The following is a 12,806-nucleotide window of genomic DNA, read 5'->3' as shown; positions in this document are numbered from 1 at the left end:
AAGCAAATTATTCCAACTCAGTTTGTTAAGAGTATGTTTATGTATGCACATATATGGGTGAGTTTGATCTGCTGAAATCCAGTGAAGAAGGAGGAGGAGTAGAAGGGAGACAAAGAAGGAGAGGTAGAGAGGAGGATGGCAACAGCGGAAAGCTCTCTTTATATGGCATAAAGCCCCAGGTCTTCATTGGTAAGGCAAATGTCTACTATTAACATGACATACTTTGCTAGATACACAGTAGAGGGGATGGTAGGAAAGCTTCATAGATAAGTTCAGCGCTGCTTCCCTTCTTCAGCTGTTCTCAATCTAGAGGACTAAATAGAAGTATACATGGCACAGAAACACTGCAGCATTTTAGATTAGAGCTAATTGGATAAAAATAAAATTCCCAAATTTCAGCCAGTATGATGAAGTTGCTTTCAAATGGAGGCTTAATAGCCCAGGTATTCTTTACTGATAGAACTCAAAATGACTAGAAATACTGAGAGTCAGTAGCCTGTTACTTTGCAACTTTTAAGAAAATGTTGGATGGAATGATAGTTCTTCGTTTATCTTTCCTACTTTCCTTCCCTCTCCAGCCAAGTGTGCACTCAAGCCTTTAAGAGCACTTGAGAAGCTCCTAGAAAATAGGATGAATGGTGCATGGCAAGATCATTGTGTAAAATGTGCTGACTGATTAAAGACAGATTTCATTTGCTACACTTCTTTTTATCAAAAGACACTTTGAGAAAGCAAAAATGGAAGAGGGACATTATTTAATATGGGCTCTATACAGCACCTGAGAGTACAAAACATTTTTTTGTTGTTGTTGTTTTACCCAAGCAAAGCCTACTGTTACCATTTAGTGGTGACTGGTTTATTGAGTGCTAATGCTTTAAAACTGAGATTAAATCAGGTCCATGGTCTTTATTACTGGGAAGATATATGCCCCTTGTGAATTCTAGTGGTTTGGCAATCTTAACCTCAGCAGACATAACATTGATGTATTCTGTGTTGCCAAACAGCATGGTAAGTGTTTAAAATGCTGTGAACAGCCTTATTGCCTTGAAATGATACAATCTAATATGAGATTTTAACTCAGTGACTGAATCCGTGTGCCTATCCTTGTACAGAATACTAAAGTCCAAGCCACTGTATTTTAATATCTCACAGCGAAGGAACTCTTCTTCATTTCACTACTGAAAGACAGCACATGTAAATGTGAATGTAGATTGCATGAAGACTGAAACTGCAATGTAACAGGCCATTTTCATTAACAGTGCATAGGCAGCTGCCTTTCATAATAAGGCATCAAAATATCAGCCTGCTTCATTCAAATCAGCAGACCTCCTCTGGCCTTGTGGACAACTGATGGGTGGGATCTATGAGGCCAGAAATTCTCTAGTGACTGAAAGTCAAATTGTCCCCTTTCCACTTCATTTGGAGCATTCTGAGAAAGCTGCTTTTACCAAATCTGAAGGATTTATTCCACTTGTTTCTCCTAATCAATCATAATTAACATTAACATTCAGTTCTCTCTACACTTTATACTCATCAATCAAATTTCAGACACTCATCACTCCAAGGTTCCAGTTACTTTATAGCCTTGATTTTCACCATCAGGATGTCACCTGGCCTGTCTCCTGAGTAGAGGGGGTTTTCTGCATCTGCACCTCAGTCTGTCATTGCTAAAGCAGACCAGGGACACTTTGAGGTAGAGTGACCCACTGTCCTGGTTTTACCTGGCACTGAGGTGGCTTCCCAGGATATGGGACTTTCAAGTGCAAAAGCCAAGTCAGTCCAAAGAAAAGCAGAATGGCTAGCCAGTCTACCTCTAGGTAAAATCTGGCTTAACTGACTATGGAAAACTCTGCCTTCATCAGTTTGGGTGGCTATCACAAAGTATCTGGACTGGGTAGGCTGTAAACAACAGACATTGATTTCTCAAAGTTCTGGAGGCTGGAAATCTGAGATCAGGGTGCCAGCATGATTGGTTTCTGATGAGGGTCCTCTTCTGGGTTGCAGATTACAGACGTCTCATTGTATCCTCACATGGTGAAAGGAGCAGGGGTGTTCTGTGGTTACTTTTATAACGGCACTAATCACATTCATGAGGGCTCCACCCCATGATCTAATTATCTCTCAAAGGCTCCACCTCCCAGTGCTATCACATTGGGGGTTAGAATTTCAATATACACATTTTAGGGAGAAAAAACATTCAGTCTACAGAGTTCTTAGTGGAGAAAAGCTACAGAAGAGTGGTTTGAAGCTACATATGGGAATTAACCACATATCTATGAGATGTAATTCTTTATAGCACCACCTGACAAAATCACATCTTTCAGATTTCAACTTTCTCAGACCCTCACTAGGAGAGTGCATGAAGGAGTGGTGATTCTGCCCAATTGTCCTGTTATTGATGAAAATGAGTTATTCTGATCAGTCTTCCAAGATGAGACTAGACTAAGTAGGACCTGGGAAAGAAAACCCATAACAAATGACTAAACAGCCTATGATTCAATATTGTTTTTATTGAGAACTAAAGATTACGTTGAAAGCAGCCCTTCAAATCTGCTTACCCATTCATAACTTAAATTTATTTCAAGTTCAATCTGCTTGCCTTGCTTTATGGTCAATATAAAAGTTAAAAAAAAAGACAGGTTTTGGTCAAATCTTTATAGAAACAAGTAAAAAAACTGATTCTTCACTTTGCAGGTCTAACATTTCAGGGGCCAACAGAAATAATTATGAGCTGCCTTCTAACCAGAAGAGTGGGGCAGAAATAGCAATATCATGGGTTCCAGAATGGTCAGTACCATTTTTTCAGAGTCTACATGACTTCAGTGTATCCAGGTGAAAACAAAAACTGTTCATCTTATTACTCAGCTGTTGAGCCAACATGTTACCAAGCGTTAAGAAATTTGGAAGCACTAGAAGGAATTTTTATTTCTTACTTGACATGTATATGTTGTAGGCCATGCCACTATAATTAAAATAAAATTTACTCTTCTTAAGGCCCCACAACAAAAAAATGGACTCTGCAAAAGTTTAGCATTTAATGAAGCTGTAAAGTAAAATTAGCAAATTATATTTTCTAATATTTTTCTGTTAATGAGAAGTCCTCCCTTAGATATAAGTAGTAAGTCAACTTGAAACAGTTTTGTTTAAAAAAATAATCTCATAACTTTACGCAGCCAGTTGAGGTCCTATGACTGTTTTCTAAGATAATTTAAGGAGAAAGGTCAGTCAAATCCATGACAGAATAAACATGAATCTTTTTACATCTTTCCTTTTTCTTAAAAATGTGCGTTGTTGGTGAAAATGTAAATTAGATAGCCATTATGAAAAATGGTTATGTAGCTTTCTCAAAAAACTAAAATTAGAATTACCATATGATACAACAATCCTACTTATGGGTATATATCCAAAGGAATTGAAATGAGGGTATATAAGAGATATCTATACTCCATGTTAATTGCAGCATTATTCACAACAGCCAAGATGTGGAATCAATCACGAATGGGTAAAGAAAATATGAGATATATATATATATGTGTGTGTGTGTATATATGATATACATACACACACACAATGGAATACTATTCAGCCTTTAAAAAGAGTAAATCCTGTTATTTGTGATAACATAGATGAACCTACAGGATATTATGCTAAGGGAAACATGCCAGGCACTGAAAGAAAAATACTGCATGATCTCACTTACAGGTAGAATCTATTATAAAAAAGTCAGACTCATAGAACTAGAGAGCAGAATGGTTACCAGAGGCTTGGGAAGATGGGGCGTGGTAAGGAATGGAAAGATGTTTGTCAAAGGGCACAAGGTTTCAGTGAGAGAGAAGAAATAAGCTTTTAATATCTATTGCACAGCAACGTATATATCAAAATTGCTAAAAGAGTAGATTTTAAATGTTCTCACCACAGAAAAGAGAGAAGTATGTGGTGACAGATATGTTAATTAGCTTGATATAATCACTCCACGATGTATACATACATCAAAACATGACATTGTACTTCATAAAAATATATAATTACTTGTCAACTTAAAATTTAAAAGATTTTTAAAATGTACATTATTTCTACAAAAATTATTTTCTCATCCCCAAAAATGAATAAGAAGAAGAGAGGAAGGAGGAGGAGGAAGAGAAGGAAGAATCCACCTACCTGCTACTGCAACTTTTGCTGTCCGACTAATAATTGAGCCAGAATCTCCTAAAGATGCCTCACATTGGTAAAGTCCCTCATCTGGCTTGTGGTGTCTGGAATGAAGTATGTTTTGTATCAGCAGAGACCCATTTGAAAGTTGCTGCTTCCTTTCATCCATTCCCAAGGCCAGATGAATGCCATCTTTCTTCCACTTGATCACTGGAACTCCTCGGTCGGACTCCGCGGAGCAGTCGAGGAGGACATTTCCTCCCCGCATTGTGACGGCATCAGAAGGTTCTGAGAGGAAGCGCAGTGCTGTGAAAGCTTTAATTTGAAAACCTGGAACAAGAGAGCACAGGGAAATATGTTCATGTATTCAAATAAATCTCAGGCTTAGATTCCCTGTCTTTTCTTTACAAAGCTTTTCACAAAAGCTGAGGGCTTTGAACAATGTCCAAGAATAAATAAAAACTAAAATCAAGGATATTATGTTAAATAAGCAAAAAAGTACCCAGTCGAGGTAATCATAATTAAGAAAACAATTGGCTCCAAAAGTTAATATTATGAGAAATTACAAATTCATATAAATCCTGGCATGCTTATTACCACATATCAGTCAGTACATGAAAATTTAGACAGAAAAAACTAATATTTTCCAAATAAAATTAGATATTTTAAAGTAGCAATAGTTATTAGTGTGGTAGCTAAGACTTTTGGGGAGACTATTTCTATCTCTTCATTCTGATTATGGCATCCATTGAAATTTTTAAAAAATCCAATCTGATACAGGGTTCTATAAGAATAAAAGTCAACTCTGAACAGCATGGGCAAAGTTATTTAGGACAAAGCTCAGGTGGGTTTTAAAATAGGTAAATCCCACTGGCAGAAGCAAGTCAATAAAGCTACTACCTAAAATCACAAATCCCTGAAGGGTCTTAATTTTCATCCAAATGTTTCTCATGGGCTTGGAAATCTAAATAAATATTACAGTTGAATTTGTTTCATAAACGTAAATGAACATAAAGAATCAACCAAGGGTAATAGAAATTCATTTAAGAATCTTGAGGGGAGGAAGCAAGTATAATCAGTTAAAGTATATTGTTTTTGAAGCTGGCAGTATAGCATTTGACAGAATACTCACATGTTGAGTCAAAGACCTTGACAAGGTTTCAGGAGGTCATTGGCTCCACCATTTGCTCAGACAGGTGTATACTTAAATCATTCAAGTCAAATTACTTTCAATTTCATTTTGAACAATCTTTGGGGCTAGAGATTCTACAATGTCCCTCGGTATCTTGTTTTCAATATTTAATCATTTTAAGAGTCTAACTGAATTTTCTTGCTGATGTTTAATCCCATTTTCTCCTGAAACACCTTGTGTGAAAATGCAGAAGAGATGGACATTTTCTTTAAGAGCCCTTTATTTGTTTGAAATGGCATTTCATTTCTTAAAAAATACCACCTAAATTATGTTTTAGTCTTCATTTTTTTTTTCCACGATAGCAACCTTGACTTCATTAGCTTCCTTCATTTTTCTGTAATGGGAACACTTTTCGTTGTACTTTGTAAAATCATTCCAATCTTCTGTCATTTAAAAGGCAGGCATCTAAATTGCAGGTAATCCATATTCTCATAAGGGGTTAACTCATACTGGTCCTGATGGACAGAACTATTTCTATCTTTGTACACCCCATTTTACAGTGAAGAGAAAGCAGAACAGCTTCTTACGGTTTCTCCCTGGTTTTATTTGCTTCGTTCCTGCATACTCAATTTTTCTAAAACTTACGTTTGAAGTCTGTTATTCTGCCCAATGATGTCTTGTGTCGCTCACTGTCATATATTCATTCCTTTCACCTTGGCCACTCACTCAGAAAGCATCTGGAACTTTGCTTGAATTAATATAAATTGTAAAATAATGGTGAGCACATAACTCTATTATAGATGGATATTGATAAAGATCCCAGATGACAGCAGCCTGGTGTCTTTATTTTCAAATAAGCTCCTTCTCCCCACAGATCCTTTTGGTGTAGTCAACCCAATTATAGTACATCCTGTTCTTCTAGTGGGAAGTACATTGAATTGGCTGTCTGGATATCTAGCCTTAGGTCTTGGTTTTATCACTTCAAAATTCATGACTCAGAAAGGTCTTTTAAGCCCTCAGAAACTCAGTTCCTTCATCTGCAAAAATTAAGAAGTTGAACTAGATGATCTCTAAGTTCAACATCTAGTTTGGAGGCTTTTAGAACAAGATTGAATTGAGAGCATCTGTCAAATGAACCCTGCTCTAAGCTTGCTGAATCACTTAAGGCTGATTTTGCTGAAAATACCTTTCCCATGTCTACGTGATCTCTTCCTCTACCAGAAAAGAAACACAAGCTAGCAAACCTGGCTTGAGAAACACTAAGGATGAGACAGCAGAAAGAAGTTCTAATGTCCTTGAATGCCAAGATATTTCGCTAGAGTAATACCCACAATTTCCATACAAGTAGCATTAATAAAGAAGAAATAAATTTGAAATTCAAGAGCAGGCAACTATATTAGAAAGCATGTATTGCTTTTTTGTTCTTCCTGGGGCCTATATTTTAAACACAACCTCATGTTAAGCACCTTATTTATGTCACAGAACACATAATACATTTAACACAGCTGTTTATGACAGCATGTTAATGAGCATATGTGCCCATTATCACACATAAATAATCCACTTAGTCTGAAACAAGGAGATTATGACAGTTTTCAGTGCTGTGAGTACATAGATCAACTTTAACACAATTACCCTTGCAGTTCAATGGCAATTTGAGCTTTTTGTACTCTTTATAACAATTATATTTTGAATATATGGCTTTGGGATATAGGCACCTCACTGCTTTAAGTAACTTGCATTAGTGATTAGTTTTATAGAAAAGATGGATCCTGGTGAATCAAGTTAATTGAGAAATAGTAGATATGATTCTATTGGTCTCCTTTTCTAAGTTTCAGCTCATGTTAGTGACAGTGGCAGGAGGCAGACAAATTCCCAGGCAGACAGGGGTGGGTCCCCAGTGAAACCCAACCTTCAAGCCGAAAAAAGCCTAAAGCCTGAAAACTGGGCTGCTGGTTCTGAATGGAGTCTGTGACCAGAGTGAGAACTTCTGTTCCTGTTTGCCTGTTCTTTCCTGATTGGTTCTTTCTGAATAATTCTTTTTTTTTTCTTTTTTTTGGGCGATGGAGTCTGGCTCTGTCTCCCAGGCTGGAGTGCAGTGATGCGATCTTGGCTCACTGCAACCTCCGCCTCAGGTGACTCTCCTGCCTCAGCTTCCCCAGTAACTGGGATTACAGGCATGCGCCACCACACCTGGCTAATTTTTGTATTTTTAGTAGAGATGGCCATGTTGGCCATATTTGGCCAGGCTGGTCTCAAACTCCTGACCTCAGTTGTTCCACCTGCCTCAGCCTCCCGAAGTGCTGAGATTACAGGCATGAGCCAATGGGTCCAGCCTGAATAATGCTTTTTAACCAATCAAATATTGCCTTTTCCATGGCTACCTACAGGCTGCACCTCCCACATTCTGAGCCTATAAAAACTCCAGACTCAGCCACACCTGGGGACTACCCACTGCAGATCGCCTCTCCGCCCAGAGATGTTCTGTCACTCAGTAAAACTTTTCTCCACCTTGCTCACTCTCCAGTTATCCAAGCAACCTCATTCTTCTTGGATGCAGGACAAGAACCTGGGACCCATTGAACATCAGGTGCAAAAGGAGCTGTAACACTGTAGCCCTCCAGCCCTCCACTGCTGCCCGAGTGGCCACCCAAGACGACAAGAAGCTGCAGTGGGGCCGGGCCAGCCCAAGAGCTGTGGGCCAGAGTAGTGCAGCAGGACTGAATGAGCTGTAACACAAAGGAGCCGAAACACACTCCTGCCCACCCCTTGCCCCGTTCACTGTGCTGCATATGGCAGGAAGGAGAGAAGAGCTGCAACCCTTCTGGAGGTGCAGACCTTGGGACTCCCGGAGCCAGAGCTCTGACACACCCTTGTTTGCTGGGCTACGGGAACAAACAAACGGTGACATGCTGTAACACCCTTTTGGGGCTCTGTGGTTGTTGGCGTCTCTAAGTTTTTTGGGTGTCACCGTGTTCCCCCAGTCCAGACACCAGCATCGAAGGCAGAATTTGCTTGCAGTATGCCTGGTCCAGCTGCCGCCTCACAGGGAACCAGCGCCTGTGCCGGCACCTAAAGCTGCCTGCCGCACTGCAGCAGCTGGCGCACCTGGCTCTGTGCGGTGGTGGCTGGATTCCGCACTCACTCACTCACACACCCCTCACCGCTCCATGCCTGGCACGCCTATGGTGGGCGTGGGATCAGGGGTCGTAGCACGAGCCGACCGCAGCCTGTCAGACTGAGTGGGCAGAACCAGCTCAGCGGCCAGCTCGGAACCCAGTGAGGCCCAGGCAGGAGCGCTGCGTGTTGTGGAAGATTTCCGGCTGGCGAAGCGGCACTGAAAAATACCGTGTCATTAGGCAAGGCTACCTTTAACTTCCTTGTATTGCACACAGGACTAAGAAATGTCCCACGAATACATTACATTGACATCAATTTAGATAAACCCCCTCAACCCTTTCTCTTAGTGTACTGGTTCCATTTGGAGAGATTTTGCCCACCAGTATATAATTTCTTAATATAAAATAATTTTATAAAATGACTTCATCCAAGGATTAATCTTAAATCAACTACGCTGATTTAATGTATGAAGAGAGGAAGACAGAGATGATAAAACTGAAGAAGACAAGAAGTAGAAATAACTTCGGAGCCTGTGGCTCAAAAAGTTGTAGTCTGGAATTAGGTACTCAGAGTTCATTCAAAGTGTAGACCTCCTGGAAAATGCATGGAAGGAGGTCATGGGAAGGCAACAGAAGAACTCATTTTGAGAATCAAAACTAAACTTCCGATTTTACAATGCTGCAGAGAATTTCATATTAGAATTACAATGGTGAGGATTTCATCCAGGTGAAAACCTAATGGAGAAGTTTATTTTGTTTGGTTTTATTTTTAAGATGTCCAATGGCCATCCCCTTGAACCCTCAAATAGTTACATTTCCAAGCCTTGCTTCATAAAGAAAGAAATCCTTTGAACTCTGCCATAAAATTACTTAAGACAACTATAATATATTGTGGAGAAATAGACTGGAAAGTTCCCAAATCTCATCCATTAAGAAACTTACACAACGGAGTCTGACATCAGAGTTCACCATAAAAATGAGTGTTTCCATCTCTCTCTCCCTCCAAATGTTGGTTTGGGAAGATTTCTAAATTTTGGTTGAAATATAGGCATAAAGCCATATATGTATTTAACTATTGGCTAGCGTTTCTTATCTATAATTGTCTGAAGAAAAGTAATGAGGTGTCAGATCATCATTGGGCCTTCTCCTCCTCCTCCTCCTCCTCCCCTTACACTTCCTCCTTCTCCACCTCCTCTTTCTTCTCCTCCTTTTTTTTTTTTTCTGTAAAATGATAGTTTGTAAGCAGATACCAAGATAGCAAAACCTTCCATGCTTCCTGATGAGGATATAAAAGAAGGCCTACCCTTGAGGAATGACCTAAGGGAGAACTTTTATTATCTATGTTTTAGTTTTCTCAGACATAAATAAGCATCAGAAATAATATTGCCAAAGACATTTCAAGTTTATATTAATTATCTATACATAGAGAATATTCTTAATATATTTTAGAAACTCACCAAAATGATCAAATAGTACAAATATTTCTCTAAGCTTGGTCCCTTTGTGCTTGCTCTCTTTATCATATTCTTCTCAGTTCCAAAGACCATTCAGTCGCAGAGGCAAACTAACTTAAAATGAGGTTTTTAAGGTATGACATTTTATCTACAATATCAAACATTGTTAAGTGTAAAAAATAATTCTCTGTGGAGTCAGAAATCTCTTTCCAGGTCCAAAATGTAAAAGCTTCTGGTTAAGGCAATAGAAGCTCAAAATGAAATTTATAAGAAGTAGCTTGGAAGTGGGGAAAAAAGCTCCTACAAGATTTTGAGATTAGAAAATGTCATACAAATCCCCATAGAACTTGCTATGCATAATTGTATCACTTAAAATTACACAAACTTTCATTTTGGGGTGCTTAGAGTTTCTGATGATCCGTGAATCTTCATATCAACCCAGAAAACCATGCCACTATCATCTTTTCTTAGAAATAGATGCTACCACATTTGCTTCTTTTGGCTTAAGACAAATAAAGAGACCTCCATTGAAGGAAATAAAAATAATTCTATGGATGATGCAATATAATCTACTTTCAATTTATCAAATATCAATTACATGTACAACTTTAACTCTGGTCTTTAGCCCTGGAAAAAAATTATAATACTTATGAGGCCATGCAATGGAGCAGGAATTTAAAAAACAAAAACAAACAAACATGAATTAACAGAATCCCTAAGCATATGTTAACTTCACTTGGTTTAGTATATCAGAATACAAATTCTGAAACAGTGGTTCTCAAAGTACAGTCCCTAGACTAGCAACAGCAACACCTCCTGGGAACCTGCTGAAAACGCACAATGTTAAGTAGAACAATGGTTACAAGAGGCTGGGAAGGGTAGGGAGGGGATAGACAGAGGTTGCTTAAGGAATACAAAATTACACCCCTTAGACAGGAGGAGTAAGTTCTAATGCTCTATAGCACTGTACTGTGACTAAAGTTAACAATAATTTGGTGAATATTTTCAAATAGCTGGAAGAAATGATTTTGAATGTTCCCAACCCAAACAAATGATAACTCTTTGAGGTGATAGATGTGCTAACTAGTCTGATTTGATCACCAAACATTGTATACATGTAACAAAATATCAGCCTGTATCCTATAAATGTGTACAACTATTGTGTGCCAATTAAAAATAAAAATACATATTAAAATGCACAATTCTAGGCCCTGCCCCATACCTACCCAATCAGAAACTGTGGCAGTAGAGCCCAGCAATCTGTACTTTAAGAAGTCTTCCAGGTAATTCTCACGTTAACTAAAACTCTAGAACTTTGCTCCAAAACATCTGGTGGCCTGGATTGGAGCAAGGGGGTTCTTGTGTCCCTTCTACTATCTTGCCATGACTTTTCATATTTGAGGAATTTGTGTAATTTGGGTTGATTATTTTTCTAAGTAAGTAGGTGAACTTAGAAGGATAATCTAGAAAGGCAAATAATTGAACACTTATTTCAACACGTTTTATTAATATTTATTATATATTTCTCTTTGAAAGGCTGAAGTGGAGAAAGGATCAAGAAAGAGGACTATTGTTTACAATACCTAATCTTTCCTCTGTTACAACCAGCACACTGTTTGGGCCCCAAATGGCCTTACCCCATTAAGCAAAATTAAACTTCCATGGTCATTTGGACATTTAGAATATTCCTTGGAATATTCTTGATTCTTCACATAAGGGGCTATGAGAGGATTTCTTCTAAACAGTGACAATAACTACAAGCCTCTTCCAAAAGAAGTTTGGGTTCATCCAGTATTCTTTATCACATTGCCTTTCTTTTATTCCATTTTAGTTCCACAATATAATTGTAGACACTTACCAGGCTGATCTGCCCCTTAGTCTAGTTTAGTCTCTAGATGGGAAAACCACAATAGCCATTTAACTGTGCTGTAGCCTGAGGGTGTGCTTTGTGTATTTCCCATTAATGGAAGACTTTAATTTCCGCTAGACCAGAGAGAGAAAGTGTGCACTCACCAAAGGACCAGCACCTATGACTATTGGGGTTTCTGTGAAGCACTGGTGCCATTTTATTCACTTTGATAAGACATTAAAAAATATTGTCAGAATACATGGTCATATTTTTAAAAGAGTACATTCATTCCACAGTTGCCAGAGACTAACACTTTAAAGCCATTTAAGACAAATTTTTATTACTAAAAAATGCAAATCAGAAATGAATTAAGTTATGTGGAATTAATTCCTGAACTTAAATAATGTAAAAAAAGGCTGATCAGGAAAGAAAACATATACATTTTACTATGGGAATTTATTAAGGATCATTAAAATATAGGGAAGCTATGGATGAAAATTTAAGTGAAAATTTAAAAGGAACAGTCAAAGTTTCTCCCTCATTAGAGTTGCCAGATTTAGTGAACAAAAATTAAGGACACAAGTTATATTAGAATTTCATATGAAAAACAAATTTAGTATAAATTTTAGTATAAACATGTCCTAAATACTTATACTAAATAAATATTGCATAAGACCTACTTATACTAAAATATTATTTGTTATTTACTCAAAATCAAATATAACAGAGCATCCTGTATTTTATCTGAGAAACCTATCCTCCATGAAATTCCTTCTTAAGACCATAGCTAAAGTAAGCAACTAGCAAATAAATTCCTACTGTGCTCCTCAGTTGTCACATATCTAGAGAAGAGTAAATTCTTGGAAAGCTAGCATGACTGAATCAGGAAGTGATTTTAGTGTCAGGACATTTGCTGACCAAGTGCAACACCACCAAATATTCTCAGCAAAAGGGTGCTGAACCGATTTGCTCTTGATACCCTGATTCTTCTTTTTCTCTTCCCTTTACAGGGAACTAAATTTGGAAATATAAAGGTAAGATGTGGAGTTCACAAAGCAACTGTCCCAGCTGAAATCTCTTAGTGAGCCCACACAGAGGCTCCA

At 38.1% G+C, this 12,806-nt stretch overlaps 1 protein-coding gene across 4 annotated transcripts in view; it reads right to left on the bottom strand.

The window, feature by feature from the left end:
- DCC (DCC netrin 1 receptor) overlaps window positions 1-12,806 on the bottom strand; it is a 1,195,703-nt gene that overhangs the window by 779,367 nt on the left and 403,530 nt on the right. For all 4 annotated transcript variants that reach the window (NM_005215.4, XM_017025568.2, XM_017025569.2 and 1 more), the window contains exon 2: window positions 4,159-4,479. In NM_005215.4, coding sequence (NP_005206.2) covers window positions 4,159-4,479 — 321 coding nt within the window. The remainder of the gene's footprint in view (window positions 1-4,158; window positions 4,480-12,806) is intronic.

Source organism: Homo sapiens, chromosome 18, assembly GCF_000001405.40.
Source record: "Homo sapiens chromosome 18, GRCh38.p14 Primary Assembly".
NCBI lineage: Eukaryota > Metazoa > Chordata > Mammalia > Primates > Hominidae > Homo > Homo sapiens.
This window is presented reverse-complemented; position numbering and strand designations above follow the sequence as displayed.